The sequence below is a fragment of the Homo sapiens genome, chromosome 6, assembly GCF_000001405.40.
Source record: "Homo sapiens chromosome 6, GRCh38.p14 Primary Assembly".
NCBI classification, from domain to species: domain Eukaryota; kingdom Metazoa; phylum Chordata; class Mammalia; order Primates; family Hominidae; genus Homo; species Homo sapiens.
In genome coordinates this window covers 44,508,416-44,528,112 of record NC_000006.12, presented here as the reverse complement: position 1 = coordinate 44,528,112, position 19,697 = coordinate 44,508,416, and the positions used below count along the sequence as shown (strand labels likewise).

The window sequence follows — 19,697 nt, the reverse complement described above, 5'->3', positions numbered from 1 at the left end:
CCCAGGGCTAAGGGCTGGGGGAAGGGCAGTCTGAGCTGACTTGACAAAAGCATAGACTTCACAGGTGTAGGAAGGAAGTGAGAAGATGCCAGACAAGAAGGAAAGTCATTTTTAAAGGGCTTGGATCAATGGTGGGGTGTGCAAAATTGTCACGAAAGAGCCCATTCATGCTGCGTTCCAGGAGTCTGACAGGAAGCGACGGGAAGTGGGGCTGGGTGAGTGGGTCCCTGCTAGGTACACTCGAGAGCTACCCAGAGTCCTCAGGGCTCAAGCTGTTTGCTCCTGAGGCTGAGAGAGCCCCAGAGACCTCCAGTTCCGTGGAAGGCCCAGCCCTGCCCTCCCTGGGCTGCCTTCATGGTGATCAGGCTGTGGGCAAGCAAACTAGGAGGGGGCATTCCCTCTCCCGCCCTGCCACAGCCTCTGCCTGTCCTCACTGTGACACCCCTGGACCCTCTCCCACCCTGCCACGGCCTCTGCCTCTACTCACTGTGACACCCCTGGACCCTCTCCCACCCTGCCACGGCCTCTGCCTCTCCTCACTGTGACACCCCCGGACCCTCTCCCACCCTGCCATGGCCTCTGCCTGTTCGCACTGTGACACCTCTGGATGCATCAGGATAAGCCTTTGCTTCAAGGAACAAAACAGCCTGACTGTAGTTGCTTAAATAATAGGATTTATCATTTCTCATAACGAGAAGTCTAGAGGTCAGGGGCCCCTGGGTGGGTTAATTCAGCCCCGTGGTGATGCCAAGGCTTATTGCGGTTTTTCTTTGTGGTCACAAGATGGCTGTCACAAACCAAATGTTACATCTTCACAGAACCATGTGTGGAGGCAGGCTGGAGTGAAGAAGGAAGTTCCTCCTCTCCTTACAAGAGAGGGGTGAGATTAAACGCCCTTATATCCCATTGGCCAGAAATGGCTTACACATTCATCACCGAAACAATCACTGGCAAAGGGAAATGGCATGGAACCGTGCTCTTCCCCTGTAGCCAGAGTCAGGGGGTGTCCCACTCATGAGTGAAATTGTGTTCCTGTAGCAGGATCGGGCCATTGGGTGTGACCAGCATGGTCTGCCACTCTGACTTCAGAATTCTCTCAAACCAATATTTAAGTGTGCAGGCCTTGTGGAGGCCAAGTAGGGGTGAAATGAAACTTATCTCCAAATATTTGCCTTACTGGGCATCTCAGGGTCCCCTCTTAGTTCTCTCCCTTGATGGTTTAATAAACCCCAATGACCTCATTCTCTTAAACCCTAATAACCCCATTCATTAAGGTGTAACTAACAAACAATGTTCAATCATTATTCCAACCCGGGGATTTGCATTTTAACAGAAAATGAGAAAGATTAATCCTGAGATTTCCAGTTAACCTTTCAGGAGGTCACTGATATAGTCCTTCATTTCATTATTTCTAATACTATGAAGACATCATATGTTTGCCTGTTATAAGGTCCTATAGGTAAACTCAAAATAGGGTTCCTCTGCTCTGGATGAGTGCGTTGCAGTATCTCTGCTTGTCTCTTCTGGTCTGAAGTTCTCAGTGGTGGCTACATGGATCTCTGAATGATAAAGATAGGAAAATAGATTAGTAAATAAATGGAATTTGTTTGGCAGACAAAATATTCCCAAACCTATGTCTATGAGGGAAAAAAATTTTAATGATAAAAGTTTATTTGATGGTATTGAGTGTTGCTTTAATGCCAACAATACATGTCATGGGCTCACAGGCAACCAAATTCTGGGGGGCTCACAAAGACCCCCACCCAGCCTCCCCTGAAACCTCATTCTGCACTCAGCCTCTTCCTCCTTTCACTCCAAGGCCAGATCTGTTGTCCAAGGGAAGCCGCCATTCATCACCTTCCACTTCAACTCACACAATAAACTCAGGGTGCCTCCTTCCCGTCCCAGCACTGTGAGGGATATGAAAATGCAATCCCTGACCTCGGGAATACAGACAGGCAGGGAGGAAGGGAGGGAAGATGAACCTACCACCAAACCAGAGAAGGCTGGGCTGGGGTGGGACAGGGCGTCCGACCGCGGAGCTTCATGGAGAGTGGCTGGGGAGGGACTAGGAAGGGTGGTCCAGCATCCAGCACACACAGATTGGCAGGGTGGGGGTGGCCATTCAGACGGAGGACTTCAGAATCATGGTATGGAGGAGGCGGTTCAGGGCATATTCAGGAATCAGCAAGTGGCCTCCCAGCAAAGTGATGGGAGCAAAGGCCATGCATCAACAGAGTAGTAGGAGGAGGCTGGCAAGGTAGATTGGTACCAGACCACACAGGGTCTCAAATTCCACACTGAGTTGTGTGTATTTAATTCCTTAGAAAATGAGGAGGTGTTGAAGGGCTGGATATTATTATTATTATTATTTACTGCACAACAGAAAAGAAACAGGCTCAGAGCCGTGGATATGGGGGTTGCTACAACAAACACTTTGGGGTTTCTAGATATTAAATGGCTTCATCTCCAACTCATTTAGTGAATGTGAGTAAGTCAGGGTGGGACTCTGTCTAAGACCCTGTGATTTTATTTCCAGTGGAAGCCAGGCCAGGGCAGGCCAAGGGTGAGCTGCGGGGTCAGGACAGAGCCAGGAAGCAAGCAGAGCCAGAAAGGGCCACCATCTAGGGCCACACGCAAGGAAGGGTTGGCCAGCTGGGGCAGGTCTTTGCCTCCCCAGGAAGTCCAGGGACCATTGGCAGGAGGACAGACCTTGAGTGGCAGAGAATCCCAGAGGAGGTGGAGTGGCATCGCGGGGAGACTTCACAATGCCTCCTGAGTAAGGAAGTCAAAGTGTGCGAGACCAGGGAGGAGACTGCAGGAGCACAGCCACCTGGACTGGTCAGGAAGGATGGGTTGAGCCACGCACAGTCTGGGAGAGATGAGTGGGTGGCACCATCCGCTGTCTGGAGGGAGCTCTTTCTCCGTATCTGGCTGTGAGCTCAAGTAACAGCTCCTTCTACTCTTGCCACATTGTGCACCTCTGGGCAGGGCCTGCCCTGGAGGCTCTGGCCAGGCCAACAGCCAGGCTTAAACCACATCAAAAACCCCCGAAAGATGATTAGAATCTTGATTTCAAATGTCATTGCTCCCTTTTTACTCCTTCAGGTGGGACTAAAGCAGCACTAGTAACCCAAAACCTTCTGATGTCCAAATTATTATGCTGAAAGTGAAACCAAGTCCTGCTAGCAGCAGGCAGATGCTTCCCAGTGAGCACAGGGCCCTCTGAGCGAGTGAGGTAATGATTGCCAGGTGCAGGTACAAACTCTTTCCCTGTCTGGGTCAGCAGCATCCCTAGGCCCTGTCTGTGCTGATATCCACCTGCACACACACAGGGATTCTTAACTCACACTAGAAAAGTTGGGACATGAGGAGCGCCCCAGTTTAGCACATGGTGAAGTCATGTCTAGCTCTTGCCATAATCCTTTAAGGCCTGCTGTGGTCGGGAAACCCACAAATGTAAGTGCTGGAAGAACCTTTAGGTATATAGTCTCATCCACTGGTTTAAAATGCCTTTCACAATCCCTATCAAAATTCCAATGGCATTCTTCACAGAAATAGTAAAAACAATTCTGAAATGCATATGGAAACATAAAAGATTCCAAAGAGCCAAAACAATGTTGAGAAAGAAAAATAAAGTTGGAGGCATCACATTTTCTGATTTAAAACAATATTACAAAGCTATAGTAATCAAAACATTATGGTATTGGCATGAAAGCAGACACACAGAACAGTAGAACAAAATAGAGAGCCCAGAAAGAGGTCTAAACATATTTAGATAACTAAATTTTGACAAGGGCACCAAGAGGGGACAATGAGGAAAGGAAAGTCTCTTCAATAAATGGTCCTGAGAAAACTGAATTTCCACATGCAAAAAAATAAGATTAGACCCTTATTTAACATCATACTCAAAAATAAATTCAAAACGGACAAAAGACCTAAATGAAAGATCAGAAACTATAAAACTTCACCTCCTAGCCATTAGCTTTCACAATGATTCTCAGGATATCGCACCAAAAGCTCAGGCCACAAAAGCAAAAATAAATAAATGGGACTACATAAAACTAAAAAGCTCCTGCACAACAAAGAAAACAAACAACAAAATGAAATTGCAGCCCACACTTTGGGAGAAAATATTTGCAAAACATATATCTGATAAGGGGTTAGTATCAAAAATTTATAAAGAACTGATACAAATCAATAGTAGAAAAACAAACAAAAAAATTTTTAATGGGCAAAAGACCTGAATAGATACTTCTCCAAAGAAGACACAAAAATTGCCAACAAGTGATTATGCAAAGATGCTCAACATCCCTGGTCACTGGGGAAATGCAAATCAAAACCACTATGAGATATCACATTATGCCTGTTACAATGGCTAATATCAAAAAGTCAAAAGATACCACATGCTGGCAAGGGTGTGGAGAAGAGGGAGTTCTTGTACACTGTTGGTGGGACTGTAGGTTGGTGCAGCCACTATGTAAAACAGTATGGAGATTTCTAAAGAAATTAAAACTAGTACTACCAAATGACCCAGCAATCCCTCTCCTGGAAATATACCCAAAGGAAATGAAATTGCCACCTCCTAAAAATATCTGCCCCCCCATGTTCATTGCAACATTATTCACAATAGCTAAGACATGGAAGCAACCTAAATGTCCATCTTCAGACAAATGGATAAAGAAACTGTGATATAGGTGAAAGGGACAAGATGGCTGACTAGAGACATTAGACATCTGCCCTCTTCAGAAAGAGAAAAAAAGTTATGAATAGAAAAACTGACCTTGAATAGCACATCTAGGAGAACAATTGTGATCAGCCAGGAGCCTGAAGGGGCTCAGTATTGCTGGGAAGGGGTGAGAGAACTTCAGTGGTCCACACCCTCCCCACCCACAGACTGTTGTAATTTAAACCACAAGAGAGCTCCTCTACCACACAAACCCTGACACTAGCTAGGCAGTGATTTGGAGACCCCACAAGGGCATTGCACCAGACAGGGAACTTGCGCTGAGTCACTTACCACACCCCCAACCACTAGACCTAAGCAGCTAGGGCACCATTGTGAGAGCACGGTCATCATAAGACTGCATCATGACCTGGGACCCACAGCCTCCATAGCTCCATCCAGGATCCCCCACTGACATCCCCCAGTGTCCAGTGGGAGGGCTACAGAGGCATGGCACTGGCTGGACCCCACAGTGCTCCGGGGTCTCCAGTACGCTAGGGAATAAGACAATCCAAGGAAAGGGTGGCGCAGCACACCGAAAAGGCATCTCCTAAGGCAAAGAAAACCAAAGTGTAGGCTTTCCAGAGCTCGAGAACTCCCTGTCTGGGGCTGTGAGGAGTGACCCTGCCCACAGCAGCAGCACAAACTCTGTGCTCAGCTTCACAAGAGGCAAGTGAGATCCCTTCCCACCAGTAGAGTGGCCTCTGCGTGCAGGCTCAGGTATAGAGAAAACAGGAACGCTTTTCCCAATTCACACACCACTGAAGGCACAGCCACTGGTGCTACCACCAGAGGCTGAGGCAGGCGAGCTGGAAAGTTGCCTGTATGAGGCTATGAGTGGCAACTGCACCCCTAATGGTGATGTGGCCTCCATGCCCATGCTCATGCATGAAAGGCAGGTCCTTCCCCAGCTGCTTGGCACTGCAGTGTCGCTGCTGCTAAGAGTAAGTGAGCCTAAGAGCTGGGTATCTTCAGCTGTGGGTGGCAACCCACACCACACCACCAGTGTGCACCTCTTGGCATCCAGAGAGTTGCCTCATTGCCCAGAGAGTTGCCCCAGTACTGCCATTGCCCACACCACACCAACTGCTTAGCGACCCAAGAACCTGCTCACCCACCCAGCCAATTGCCACTATTGGCATCTGAGCAAGCCACCAGGAGGCCCCAGAATAGGCCTGCCTGGTTCTTCTAACATCAGTGCCAGCATACACTACCTTGCGCCCCAAGAACAGGCACATTCAGCCCACTGCTGCTACCACTCCGGCCCACTTGTTATCCCTGTCCACCTGGCATCCTTGCTCCCAGCAAAATTTCACCGTAACCTCCACTAATAACCACATGTTAAACCACCAAGGAGATCACAGATACAACTGATGCTGTCTACTGCCAAAGAAATCACACAGAGACTATGCTACTGCATGCACCCAGAATCAAAACCAAAGGACCCTATCCAACCAACACAAGTGATACATCTTCAGGAAAAAAAAAAAAAACTCCCCTATGAAAGCAAATTCAAAAACTGGAGGAAGAGACTATAACATCAGATGCACTCACACCAACATAAGGACATAGGAAGCATAAAAAAGCAAGGAAATATGACATCTCCAAAGGAACACAATAATTTCCCAGCAACAGATCTCAATCAAAAAGAAACTCACAAAATCCCAGAAATTCAAAATTGTGATATTCAAGAAGCTCAATGAGATACAGGAGAATTCTGAAAGACAGTACAAAGAACTCAGAAAAACAATACAGGATATGAATGAGAAGTTTACCAAAGAGATAAATAAAAAAGAATCTAACAAATTATCGAACTGTAGAACTCCCTGAATGAAATACAAAATACACATGAAAGCTTCAACATTAGACTAGATCAAGCAGGAGAGAAAATCTCAGCACTTGAAGACAGGTCTTTTGAAATAACCAAGTCAGTCAAAAATAAAGAAAAAAGAATGAACAGAGTCTTCATGACATATGAGACACCACAAAACTACCAAATCTATGAATTATCGGTATTCTCAAAGATGAAGGGAGAACAAGGGTTCAAAAATCTATTTGACAAAGTAATAGATAAAAATGTCTCAAGTCTAGCAAGAGATTTAGATATTCAGCAATTCCCAATCAAGTACAATGCAAAAAAGGTCTCCACCACACGTTATAGGAAAACTGTCTAAAGTCAATGACAGAGAAAATTCTAAAAACTGCAAGAGAAAAGCATCTAGTAACTTAAAAAAGAGTCTGCATCACACTAACAGTGGTCTTCTCAGCTGCATCACACTAACAGTGGTCTTCTCAGCAAAATCCTTATAGGCTAGGAGAGAATAGGATGATGTATTTAAAGTACTAAAGAAAAAAAAAACTGACACGCAGAGATACTACATCCAGCAAAATTATCCTTCATAAATGAAGGAGAAATAAAGTCCTTCCCAGACAAGTGCTGAGGCAATTCATCACCACTAGACTGGCCTTACAAAAAATACTCAAGGGAGTCCTAAACCTGGAAGCTAGTGGTTGACAGCTGTCATCGTGAAAACACACACAAATATAAAATTCACTAATAAAGCAAACACAAAAATGAGAAAGATTTGAAAAACTCAAATGGTACCACCACAGAAAATCAGCAAACCACAAGGACAATCAATAAGTGAAAAAGAAAGAAACAAAGAATATACAAAACAACCAAAAAACAATGAACAATATGACAGGAAAAAAACCTCATATATCAGTAATAACCCTGAATGTAAACAGATTAAATTCTAGATCTTAAAAGTTGTAGACTGGCTGAATGAATTTAAAAAAAAACATAATCTAACTATATGCTGCCTACATGAAATTCACTTTACCTGGAAATACATATATAGACTGAAAGTAAAGGGATGGAAAAAGATATTCCATGCAAACAGAAACCAAAAGCAAATAGAAGTAGCCATACTTATATCAGATAAACAGACTTTAAGTCAAAAACAGTTTAAAAAAAGACAAAGAAGGTCATTATGTATTGATAAAGGGATCAACCCAGCAAGAGATATAACAATTCTAAATATATGTGCACCCAACACTAGAGCACCCAGATTCATAAAGCAAATACTACTACATCTAAAGAAAGAAAGAAACTCCAGTACAATAATAGCAGAAGATTTTAACACTGCACATTCAACATTAGACAGATCATCTAGATAGAAAATCTACAAAGAAACATTGGACTTCAATGGGACTGTTGATCAAATGGACCTAACAGACATCTACAGAACATTTTATCAAACAACTGCTGAGTATATATTCTTCTCATCAGCACATGTAACATTCTCCAGGTCTGACCACATGTTAGGCCACAAAACAAGTCTGAAAACATTTCAAAAAATAAAAATTACACCAAGTATTTTCTCAGATCATAAAGAAATTAAACTAGAAATCAATACCAAAAGGAACCTTGGAAACTATATAAATACATGGAAATTAAACATCATGCTTCTGAACAACCATTTGGTCGATGAAAAAATTAAGATGGAAATCAAAAAATTTTTTGAATCATGGAAAATCGAAACACAACATACCAAAACCAGTGGGACACAGCAAAAGCAGTGCTAAGAGAGAAGTTTACAGCAATAAATAGCTTTATTTAAAAAAAAAAAGAAAGAAAAAGAAAGATTTCAAATAAACAACCTAAAGATGCACCTCAAGGAACTAGAAAAGCAAGAAAAAACAAAACCCCAAATTAGCAGAAGGAAAGAAACAATAAATATCAGAGCACAACTAAATGAAATAAAGACTAAAAAAAAACCACAATAGAACAATAAAAAAAATTGGTTCTTCAAAAAGATAAACAAAATTTTTAAACCATTAACTACACTATGCAAGAAGATAGAAGATCCAAAGAAACAAAATCAGAAATGAAAAAGGAGACGTTACAACTGATACGACAAAATACAGAAGTCATCAGAGACTCTTATAACAACTATATGCTAACAAACTGGAAGACCTAGAGGAAACTGACAAATTCTTGGAAACATACAACCTACCAAGATTGAATCAGGAAGAAATAGAAGACCTGAATAGACCAATAATGAGTAAGAAAATTGAATCGGTAATTTAAAAAAAAAAAAAAAGTCTTTCAACAAAGAAAATCCCAGAACCAGGTGGATCCACGGTGGAATTCTACCAAATGTATAAAGAAGTACTAATACTAATCATCCTCAAACTGTTGCAAAAAAATTAAAGAGGAAGGAATCTTCCTTCATTCTATGAGGCCAGCATTACCCTAATACCAAAACCAGACAAGGCACAACAAAAAAAGAAAACTATAGCCAATATCCCTGAGGAACATAGATGCAAAAATCCTCAACAAAATACTAGTAATCCAAATCCAACAGCATATCAAAAAGATAATACAACAAGATAAAATGAGATTTATCCCAGGGATGCAAGGATGGTGCAACATATGCAAATCAATAAACATGATACATCACATGAACAGAATGGAGGACAAAACCATAGGGATCATTTCACTAGAAACAGAAAAGGTATTTGACAAAATTCAACACCCTTCATGATAAAAACTCTCAACAAACTAGACATAGAAGAACTATACCTCAAAATAATAAAGGCTGTATATGACAAACTCACAGCTAACATCATACTGAATAGGAAAAAGTCAAAAGCCTTTCCTCTAAGAAATGGAACAAAACAAGGATGCCCACTTTCACCACTCCTATTTAACATAGTACTGGAAGTCCTAACCAAAGCAATCAGGCAAGAAAAATCAACAGCATCAAAATTGGAAAAGAGCAAGTCAACTTTTCTCTCTTTGTGGGTGGCAAGATCTTATATCTAGAAAAAACAGATGACTCCACCAGAAAACTCTTAGAACTCATAAACAAATTCAGTAAAATTGCAGGATACAAAATCAACATACAAAAATCAGTAGTTTCTATACACCAACAATTAAATAGCCAAAATAGAAATCAAGAGGGCAATCCCATTTACAAGAGCTACAAAAAAAAAAAAATATATATATATATATATGAATAAATTTAAGCAAGGAGGTGAAAGATCTCTATAAGGAAAACCAGAAAACACTGATGAAAGAAATTGAAGAGGGCACAAACAAATGGAAAGATATCCCATGCTCATGGATCAAAAGAATTAATTTTGTTAAAATGACCATACTGCGCAAATCAATCTAAAGCTTCAATGTAATCTCTATCAAAATGCCAATGTCATTTTGACAGAACTGGAAAAAACGATCCTAAAATTTGTGTGAAACCAAAAAAGCCCAAATTGCCAAAGCAATCCTGAGCAGAAAGAACAAAACTGGAGACAACACAGTACCCAACTTCAAAACTTATTACAAGCCTATAATAACCAAAACAGCATGGTATTTATATAAAAACAGACACATAGACCAAAGGAACAGAATAGAGAACACAGAAATAAAGGCACATATTTACAGGCAACTGATCTTCAACAGAGCTGCCAAGAACATCTACTGGGAAAAGGACACACTCTTCAATAAATGGTGCTGGGAAAACTGGACAACCTTATGCAGAAGAATGAAACTGAACCCCAGTCTCTCACCGTATACAAAAGTCAATTCAAGATGGATTAAAGGCCTAAATATAAGATCCAAAACTATGAAACTGCTAGAATAAAACATAGGAAAAACTCTTCAGGACATTGGTCTAGGCAAAGGTTTTATGGCTAAGACCTCAAAAGCACAAGCAACAAAACAAAAAATATATAAATGGAACTATATTAAACTTGAAAGCTTCTGCACAGCAAAAGAAACAAAAAGTGAAAAGACAACCTATTGAATGAGAGAAAATATTTGCAAACAACTCTTCTGACAGGGGACTAATATCCAGAATATGTAAGGAACTCAAATATCTCAACAGTGAAAAACCAAATAATCCCATTAAAATGTGGGCAAAGGAAATGAATAGACAATTTTCAAAAGAAGACATACAAATAGCCAATAGATATATTTTTAAAATGCTCAACATCACTAATCATCAGGAAAATGCAAATCCAAACTACAATGAGGTATCATTTCACCCCAGTCGAATAGCTATTACTAAAAAGACAAAAAAAGAATAGATGCTGGAGAGGATGCAGAGAAAAGGGAATTCATACACTGTTGAATGGATGGGAATGTAAATCAATACAACCACTATGGAAAACAGTATGAAGATTTCTCAAAAATCTAAAAGTAGAACCACCATACAATCCAGCAATCCCACTACTGGGTATCTATCCAAAAGAAAATAAATAAGTATGTTAAAGGGTTACCTGCATTCACATGTTTATCACAGCACTATTCACAATAGCAAAGACATGGATTCAACCTAAGTGCCCACCAATGGATGAATGGATAAAGAAAATGTGGCACATAGACACAGTGGAATACTATTCAATAATAATAATAAAAAGAATGAAATCATGACATCTGCAGCAACATGGATGGAACTGGAAGTCACTGTGTTAAGTGAAATAAGCCAGGCACAGAAAGACAAACACTGCATATTCTCACTCATGTGTGGGAGCTAAAAAACTTGATCTCATGGACACAGAAAATAGAACAATAGATACCAGAGACTGGAAAGAGTGGCAGGGGGTGGGAGAGGGGATGAAGAGAGGTACAAACATACAGTTAATAGAAGAAATAAGTTTTAATTATTGATAGCAGACGAGGCCAACTATCTTTAGCAATGATATTATGTAGATTTCAAAGTAACTAGAAGAGAGGATTTGAAATGATACCAACATATAAAAATGATAAACACTAAAGATGATGGATACCCCAGATACACTGACTTGATCATTACTCATTCTATGCGTGTAACAAACTCTCATATGTACCCTACAAATATGTAAAGTATAATCAGTAAAAGGGAACAAAAGAAAATATGATAGATAGATGATAGATACATAGATAGATGATAGATAGATAGATAGATGATAGTTAGATAGATAAGTGGGATATTATTCATCCCTAAAAAAGAATGAGACCTTGCCGTTTGCCATGATGTGGCTGAGCCTGGAGGACATTATGCTAAGTGAAATAAACCAGACACAGAAAGAAAATATTGCATGATCTCACTTATATGTGGAATCTTTTTCTTTTCTTTCTTTTTTTTTTTTTTTTGAGACAGAGTTTCACTCTTGTTGCCCAGGCTGGAATGCAATGGTGTGATCTCGGCTCACTGCTACCTCTGCCTCCCAGGTTAAAGCGATTCTCCTGCCTCAGCCTCCCAAGTAGCTGGGACTACAGGTGTGTGCCACTGTGCCCGGCTAGTTTTTGTATTTTTAGTAGAAATGGGGTTTCACCATGTTGGCCAGGCTGGTCTCGAACTCCTGACCTCAGGTGATCTGCCTGCCTCAGCCTCCCAAAGTGCTGGGATTACAGGTGTAAGCCACCATGCCCAACCTGGGATCTTTTTTAAAAATCAAATATAGGGAGATAGAGAACAAAACAGTGGTTACCAGGGGTTGGGGTGGGAGGTGAGGAGGAAATGGGAAGATGTAGGTCAGAAGACACAAAGTAGCAGATATGTAGGATAAACAAGTCTAGGACTCTAAGGTACAGCATGAGATTTATAGGTAATAAAATTGTATTTGGAATTCCTGCTAAATAAGTACATTTTAGCTGCTCTTGTCACATAAACAAAAAACATGGGTAACTATATAAGGTGATGAATACATTAATTTGTTTTCCTATAGTAACCTTTTTACTATAGATATGTCTCCCATAACATTGTGTTGTATACCTTAAATATACACAATAAAATTTATTTTTTTCAAATTAAAAACAAAAAATAAGACGTTTTTAAAAAATTGAAATGTTTTTTCCAGACTTCAGAGTCTAAAACAGATAGAAGGTGGGGGCTCTTGAAGTGGGGTAAAGATGGGGTTCCACTCCCCTTAAGCAGGGCCAGAGGTAGCCACTGCCAAAATTATTTGAAACAATTCCTTGCACAGCTAAGAGAAAAGCAGCAAGTTGCTTGTATCACACAGCCTGTTAAGAGAGGAACTACAATACAAACTCAGGACTTAGTGCTCCTAGTGCCAAACCTTGCTGGTTCTACCACCCAATCTCCAAACCAAGCCGCTGAAAAGTCAAAATCATTACACTTTGTTCCTGGAGACCACCAGAACTACAGAGATTCCAGACAGAAGCAGCTGTAAATGCAAATGCTGTGACAATGACAGATCTATTGGAATGTATGCATACTGGGCCTCCAAAATCAGAAATGACAATTATTTCTAAACCATAACAATAATTAAACATTATAGTCTGATTTTTAGTTTTTCTTTTTCTTTCCTTCCTTCCTTCCCTCATCCCTTCCCTTCTTCCCTTCTTTCCTTCCTTCCTTCCTTTCTTCCCTCATCCCTCCCTTCTTTCCTTCCCTCATCCCTCCCTTCTTTCTTTCCTTCCTTCCTTCCTTCTTTCCTTCCTCTTTTTTCTGGGGCAAAATTTATTCATTATCTTCAGTCTGTCCAAGAAACAATCTTAAGAAATTCTCTCATCCCATCCCCCACCACCACCCTGGTTGCTGCTCCAGTTCAGCCCCTCACCTTCCCTGGCTCCCGCCCCACCTCTGTCCTGTGTCCAAGCTTCGTGTCCCTTGAGGCACAGGGTAGCATCTTAGCACCAACAGGATTTGAACGAACTTCCCTCCTGTCTTAGTCCATTTGTGCTGCAATAACTAAATACATTAGACTGGAAAATTTATAAACAATAGTAATTTATTTATCACAGCTCTGGAGGCTGGGAAATCAAAGATCAAGATGCCAGCAAATTCAGTATCTGGTGAGGGCTTGCTCTCTGCTTTCAAGATGGCACCTCTTGCTGCATCCTCACGTGGTGGAAGGGACAAATGCTGTGTCCTTACGTGGTGGAAGGGGCAAAAGAGTAGAAGGGCATCTTGGCACTCCCTTCAACCTCATTTATAAGAGCATTAATCCATTCAAGAGAGCAGAGCACTCATGACCTAATCTCTTCCCAAAAGGCCTCACCTCTTAATACTATCACACTGGGTATTAGGTACCAACATATGAGTTTTGGAGGGACACAGACACCCAAGCCATAGCATCTCCCTCCCCTCCACTCTGGGCAGTCCTAAGACCTCTTGTGACAGGGCCTGTCATGCTCATCAGCTGAGGGCGGGAGTGTCTCCTCCATGAGGTTAAGTTCAAAAGATGTGGGCTCTAAATGCCTCAGCCTCCCTTAATAACCCCATACAGCCCATCATAGTTACCTCAGCCAAACCATCTCGGAACTGTTTCTGTTTTCAACCTAAATCTCTTTTCAAGGTAGTAAGTTCTCAACATTTACTCTCACATCTGTATTTTAATTGTCTGAACTCACCTCCTCTGAGGCTCAAGCAGTGCTGGCTTTGGGATGGGGCTGGAGGCCTTAACTCCAGCGAACAGTTCACAGTCCCCTTATCCACTCCCTCATGATGGTTTCCGCATCTGTAAAATGAAGATCATAGTAGCTACTGCATAGGATTATACTGGGGGCTAAATGCAATTATGCATTGTAAACGCCAAGTACAATGCCGGGCTCTCAATAAGTGCTCAATAAATGTTAGCTTTTAAAAATAGCACCCTGGATGACTTTAAGGCCAAAGAGGAAAGAAAATAATATTTCTTAAGCTCCCCTACTGGCAAGGCACAGTGCCAGGTTTTCTCATATGTTATGTCACTTAATCTTCTCAGCTACCCCTACGGCTATACTATACATTTTGATCCCAATTTTTACCATTTTATAAATCAGGAAATGGAGGAACTGCGAGGGCGATTTGCCCAGGATTTCTAAATGAGTCAGACCTCTTTTGGTTGCAAATGTTCAAAGCCAACTTGGACAACCTTACACAAAAAGGGACACTTGATGGTTCCGGAAATACAACAAACTGTTTAAGAACCAAACCATGCATGGGAAAGGCAAGGGGCAGCCAAGCCTCAGAACAACTAGAAGCAGTGTCTCAGACGCCACCAGGCCTGTTTCTCCACCTCTCATCTTTGCTCTCACTGCAGACTGGCTTTCTGCACATGGCAGGGAGTGTGTCTGCCTATATTCTCACATGCCTGTCATCTTCAGCCTTTGCCCACAGAGGACTGATGCCACTCCTCAGTTCCAATCACAGAAATCACAGGGAAAGGCTCTGATTGGCTCAGCCTGGGCCAGATACCTGCCCCTTAACCAATTAACTGTGTCCAGTGGGCGTGGTCATGTGAGAATGTGTCACTTCCCACAGGAACCGCATGGATAGAGTAGGGTATGGGCAAGCTCCAGAAAGTCAGTGTGCAGCTCCCAAAAGAGAGGGATATGGGGCAGGCCACAAAATAGTAACACTCTAGTCCCATGGCCTGCAAGTGGAAGAGTCTGGATTTATTCCCAGGTCTGTTGGACTCCAGAGCCCACATTCATTCTCTGACACATGCTGCCTCCCTGAGACTCTAAGTGTCTGCTTGTGCATTAGGAAATCAGGGTTGGTCAGTCAGCCTCTCCAGAAAGTTAAAACTAATTTACTCTCTAAGCAATAATATCCATGGATAGTTCTGGCGTCCAAAGCAGACAAAGCGCAGCACTAGGCTGGGAGCCATGGTTTCCATCTACTATTTGATAGTCATTCTTATCACTACTATCTTCTTCTTTGTTGTCTTTTTAGTAAACTCTGTCCTAGAAAGTAGGGTTTTCTGGCTAATAGGGAATTTCTAAAGGTATTATATTTATATTGCCAATTTTCTAAGCATGAAAATCTTATATCAACAGAGCTAAAAAGAGATTTCAAAACTATTAACTATCTCCATCCTTTTCATTTTACAGATGAGGAAATGATGACCACGAGGGGAAAGTCAGCTGTTAATGGAGAGCTGGACCACCACGCAAGTCTCCTCATTCCTTACCCAGTGCCCAGGCCCTTCTTCATTCTGTCTTTTCTGGAATGCACTACAATACAGTGTTGAATACTGTATTGAACATGGTGTTGAATACTGTATTGAATACAGTGTTGAGTGTTGAATACAGTATTATGTTGTACTAAACAGAATTTTGGTACAAATTTTTATTTGTAATGATCCAAGCACTTCTCTTTTTAGTGAGTAGGAACAAATTTTCTAAATTCTTAACTTTCTCATAGAATATATCCTACCTCCTGGCTCTACCTAAAATCCTGCTGGCCTCTGAGGATACCACTTCCTTTAAACTCTGGCAAATAAAAACCATTTATCCTCAAAACCAGTAGACCTGGGCTGAAAAGTGTTGAGAATTCTCTGTAGGTCTCTCACATTTTACCACTTCTTGCCAGCAGAGGTATTGGTTACCTTCACTTTAGACTTTCTTTTCAAGGTGGTTGTATGATGATTAGGCTTCGAAGATGGAGACAGTGTCTCTTCAGGAGCAAATGGCAGATACGCTTACTGACCAGTGTAATAAAGATAATGTCTCCCTCCAGAGCAAACAGCAGGCTGATTTACTGCTTATTATAAAAGATTCAGAGTCCATAAATTCAGGATTCCTGTCCTTAAAAATTAACCCACTTCACATGTGGGTATAACTTGACTTTCTTTACATCCTCCTGTAGGGATTGCAACTCAAAGAATCAATACAAATGCAGATACTCTGGCTGCTACCATTGCCATGAGTAATATACTGAACTTCATCTCTGACCTGAGCCTCAAGTCTTCTGCCAGCATCCATAAAGCTGCGGCAGGCTCAGCTCTTAGCTTGTAAGTAGCGTAAAATCCCAGACCATTTACAGTTCTTGGCAGAGAGATGGGATCCATCCTTCTCACTCCTCAGTCCCATTTCCAGATTACTTCTTCACTCCTGCTGGAATTCCTTACTCCATTATGTTTTAATCTCATTTGTCAAGACTACTCTCTCTCTTCATCTCTGTCTGCTAAACTTCCCCTCATCCAGTGATATCTCGGGCACCTGTCTCCCCGCCCCAAGTCCTACCATAATTTTGGATGACTTCACAGGCCACGTGAAAAATCCCCCCAACCCTTTAGCCTCCCAGTTTCTGCATCACTTCAACTCCCTTGAATGACTCCTCCACTCCACTTCAGCTGCAAACTCCCACTGGCCACACTTTGGATATCAACACTAGCAACTGCTCTATCTCAGAAACCTCAAAAACCAACATCATTCTTTACTTTGATTATTGTATTTTTCAGTTCTAAGAATTCCATTTGATTTTCAAATCTGCTATGTCATTTTTTATGGTTTCCTGTTCCCTGCAGGACTGATCTTTTATTTCTTTAATCATAGCAAGCATAGTTTTTCGTAGTCTGTATCTAATAATACCAATATCTGAAATCTATGGGTCTGTTACATCTGTGGGTTCCTCATTGTATCTGATTTCTAAGTATATTTAGTTATTTTTGACTGTGTGCTGGCTATTATGATTGAAAAATTGTTTATAGAGGATATGTGTCTGGAAATCTCACCTTAATCCAAAATCAAGATTTGAATTTCCCTGGCCAACTTAGGTGGTACAAATCTGAGCTGCAAAACTATGTAAGAATTGGTTTAATTCAGTTCACCTCCTACTTTAGAGGAAATAGTCTTAGGAGGCCCAGCTTATAGTGCCAGAGGCCTCCTATTAGACTCCTACACTTTGTACTGGCCTTTGATTTTGATTTTGGTAGACAAAACAAAACTTCAGATTTGCTAAGATGTCAGAATTCGTCAGGGCAAAAGCAGATTCTGTGCTCATTGGCTTCTTTTTTTCCCTTCAACAATGGCCTGGTAATTCCTTAGGATTTTGTCAGCTCTTGTTACCTTTAAGATGTTTTTATGTTTTATGCAGCATTCTTGATTGTTTTCAGCAGGCAGTTGATCCAAATAACCTAGCTCACCATTACCTGGAACTGAAGTTTTCACAGTCCAGTAAGGATCACTGTGCTTCTAGCATTTTCCTCCACTAATCTCACAGCATCTGTTTTTAACCTTATTAAGACCTGCAGACCCTTAGCTACTTCATTTTCTCCACTCTATCAGCCCCTTCTATCTCCACTCCCTTCATTATATGCCATCACTTCAGCCTGTCTTACAAGAACTCTTAATTCCTTGGCCTGATGTTTTTGCCCTCATATTTACCTGGAAAAACTGATCGTAAATGGAGCCAGCCTTCTTTGCTCCTATACTCGTGCTGCTGGGGACTTCTGGAGAAACCCACCCAACCATTCATTGTGAGGCTACTTTTCTTTCATGGTCCCTGGTGACAGCTGGGCCCCCACCACCTCCCAGTAGACATCCTCTATGACACAGTAAATCCCATGTCAGTTCTTCCTGGCACTTTGTTAAACTTTCCCCTTTCATGAAGCCCTCTTCCTCTTCACTGCCCCCTACACTCTTAGATGATGTCACACCTCCTAGTTCACCCAAAGCAGCTGCCCCTTCCCATTTCCTCACCTCCAGTTCCTTGCCCACCAGTCCATGCACATCTGTGTCCACCCTTGTCTCTTTCTCATCTGTTTCACAGGCAGGTTCTCCTTCCTCCTGAGGCTCATCCCCCAACCCAGTTCCATTCTCTTATACCTTCTTTTTTTTTTTTTTTTTTTTTTTTTTTTGAGACGGAGTTTCCCTCTTGTTGCACAGTCTGGAGTGCAATGGCGCGATAGCTCACTGCAACCTCCACCTCTTGGGTTCAAGCGATTCTCCTGCTTCAGTCTCCCAAGCAGCTGGGATTACAGGCATGAGCCACCACGCCCAGCTAATTTTTTTGTATTTCTAGTAGAGACGGTGTTTCTCCATGTTGGTCAAGCTGGTCTCTAACTCCCGACCCCAGGTGATCCGCCTGCCTCGGCCTCCCAAAGTGCTGGGATTACAGGCGTGAGCCACCATGCCTGGCCCTCTTATACCTTCTTAGGAAACTCAGGCCAATAACTGACCTCAATTCTTTCTCTTTCTGTTGGCTTTTCCCATCATCTGTAAATAACACTCAAGTTTCTCCTGTTTTAAAGATGAGCTCTTTCCTTCAACTCTGCAGTCCTTCCAAGGAAATATTCCTGACCCTGCTCCCCAGTATGGGACATTCACTCACCATACATCCCATTGCACCCCCAGATGACAAGTCTGTTTCCTTGTAGTCCAATTTCTCCCCAAAATACAATGAGCTCCTGAAAGGCAGGAACTTTGTCTTAATCACTATTGAATCCCCAATACCTAGCATTTAATTTGTGGAAGGAATGAAAGAGTAAGGCCTGGGGTCATTGTTAGGCCCAGCAGCCCCATTAATCTCTATGTGCTGGTTACCAGGGCATTCTGCTGTCCTGGGAGCCCAACTGGTGGCATGCTAACTTCACAGTATTACTAATGCTATGCAATTCTTTTCCGTTTATGGAATTTCTGGCTCTATTTAGTTAGTATCTAATTTGTGGGTTAATAAGTCTTTGTCTGAAGGTCTTGGTGTGCAGCACAGGGCTAGGATCACCTTTCTCAGACTCCTCTGAGGCTTGATGTAGGGGGATGAGTGTGCTTTGAGGCACTGACTCTTTGGATAGCTTACAGGATCTCAATCTGGGCATATTACTCATTAGGGTTTATTTACCTTTTGTGGTGGCCTAGAAAAAGCCAAGCTTAATGAAGTGGTTACCAAAAGCCTTTAACATCATATTTTCCACAGAGTTCATAAAAATATTGACAGTGGACTTAACTGCCACATTGCATCTTTCCAAGAGATGAACAAAAATTATATAAAGCATATTGATTTGTTGGGTTTTTTTTTTTTAAAAATAAAGGCTTCATAGCAAGAATCCTGGCATGCTCTCATTCACAGCAGCAGCAAGCAGGCCGTTCCAAGGGATGACGAGTAAGTTGGTCCTGTGGGCTTGGGCATGCCACTGTCCCTCTCTGGGCCTCAGTTTCCTCACTACAAGTAAGAAGCTTGGGGCTGAGCCCAGTGGCTCACACCTATAATCCCAACATTTTGAGAGGCTGAGGTGGGAGGATCACTTGAGCCCG

At 41.9% G+C, this 19,697-nt stretch overlaps 1 long non-coding RNA gene across 1 annotated transcript; it reads right to left on the bottom strand.

Annotated features, from left to right (window-relative positions):
- Nucleotides 1-580: 580 nt before the first annotated feature.
- LOC105375074 (uncharacterized) lies at nucleotides 581-17,890 on the bottom strand. Its single transcript, XR_926838.2, has 3 exons — nucleotides 17,832-17,890; nucleotides 14,091-14,197; nucleotides 581-1,559 (listed from the first exon to the last, which is right to left on the bottom strand). It is a non-coding gene; the product is annotated as an uncharacterized LOC105375074 (long non-coding RNA).
- Between the last annotated feature and the right edge of the window lie 1,807 nt (nucleotides 17,891-19,697).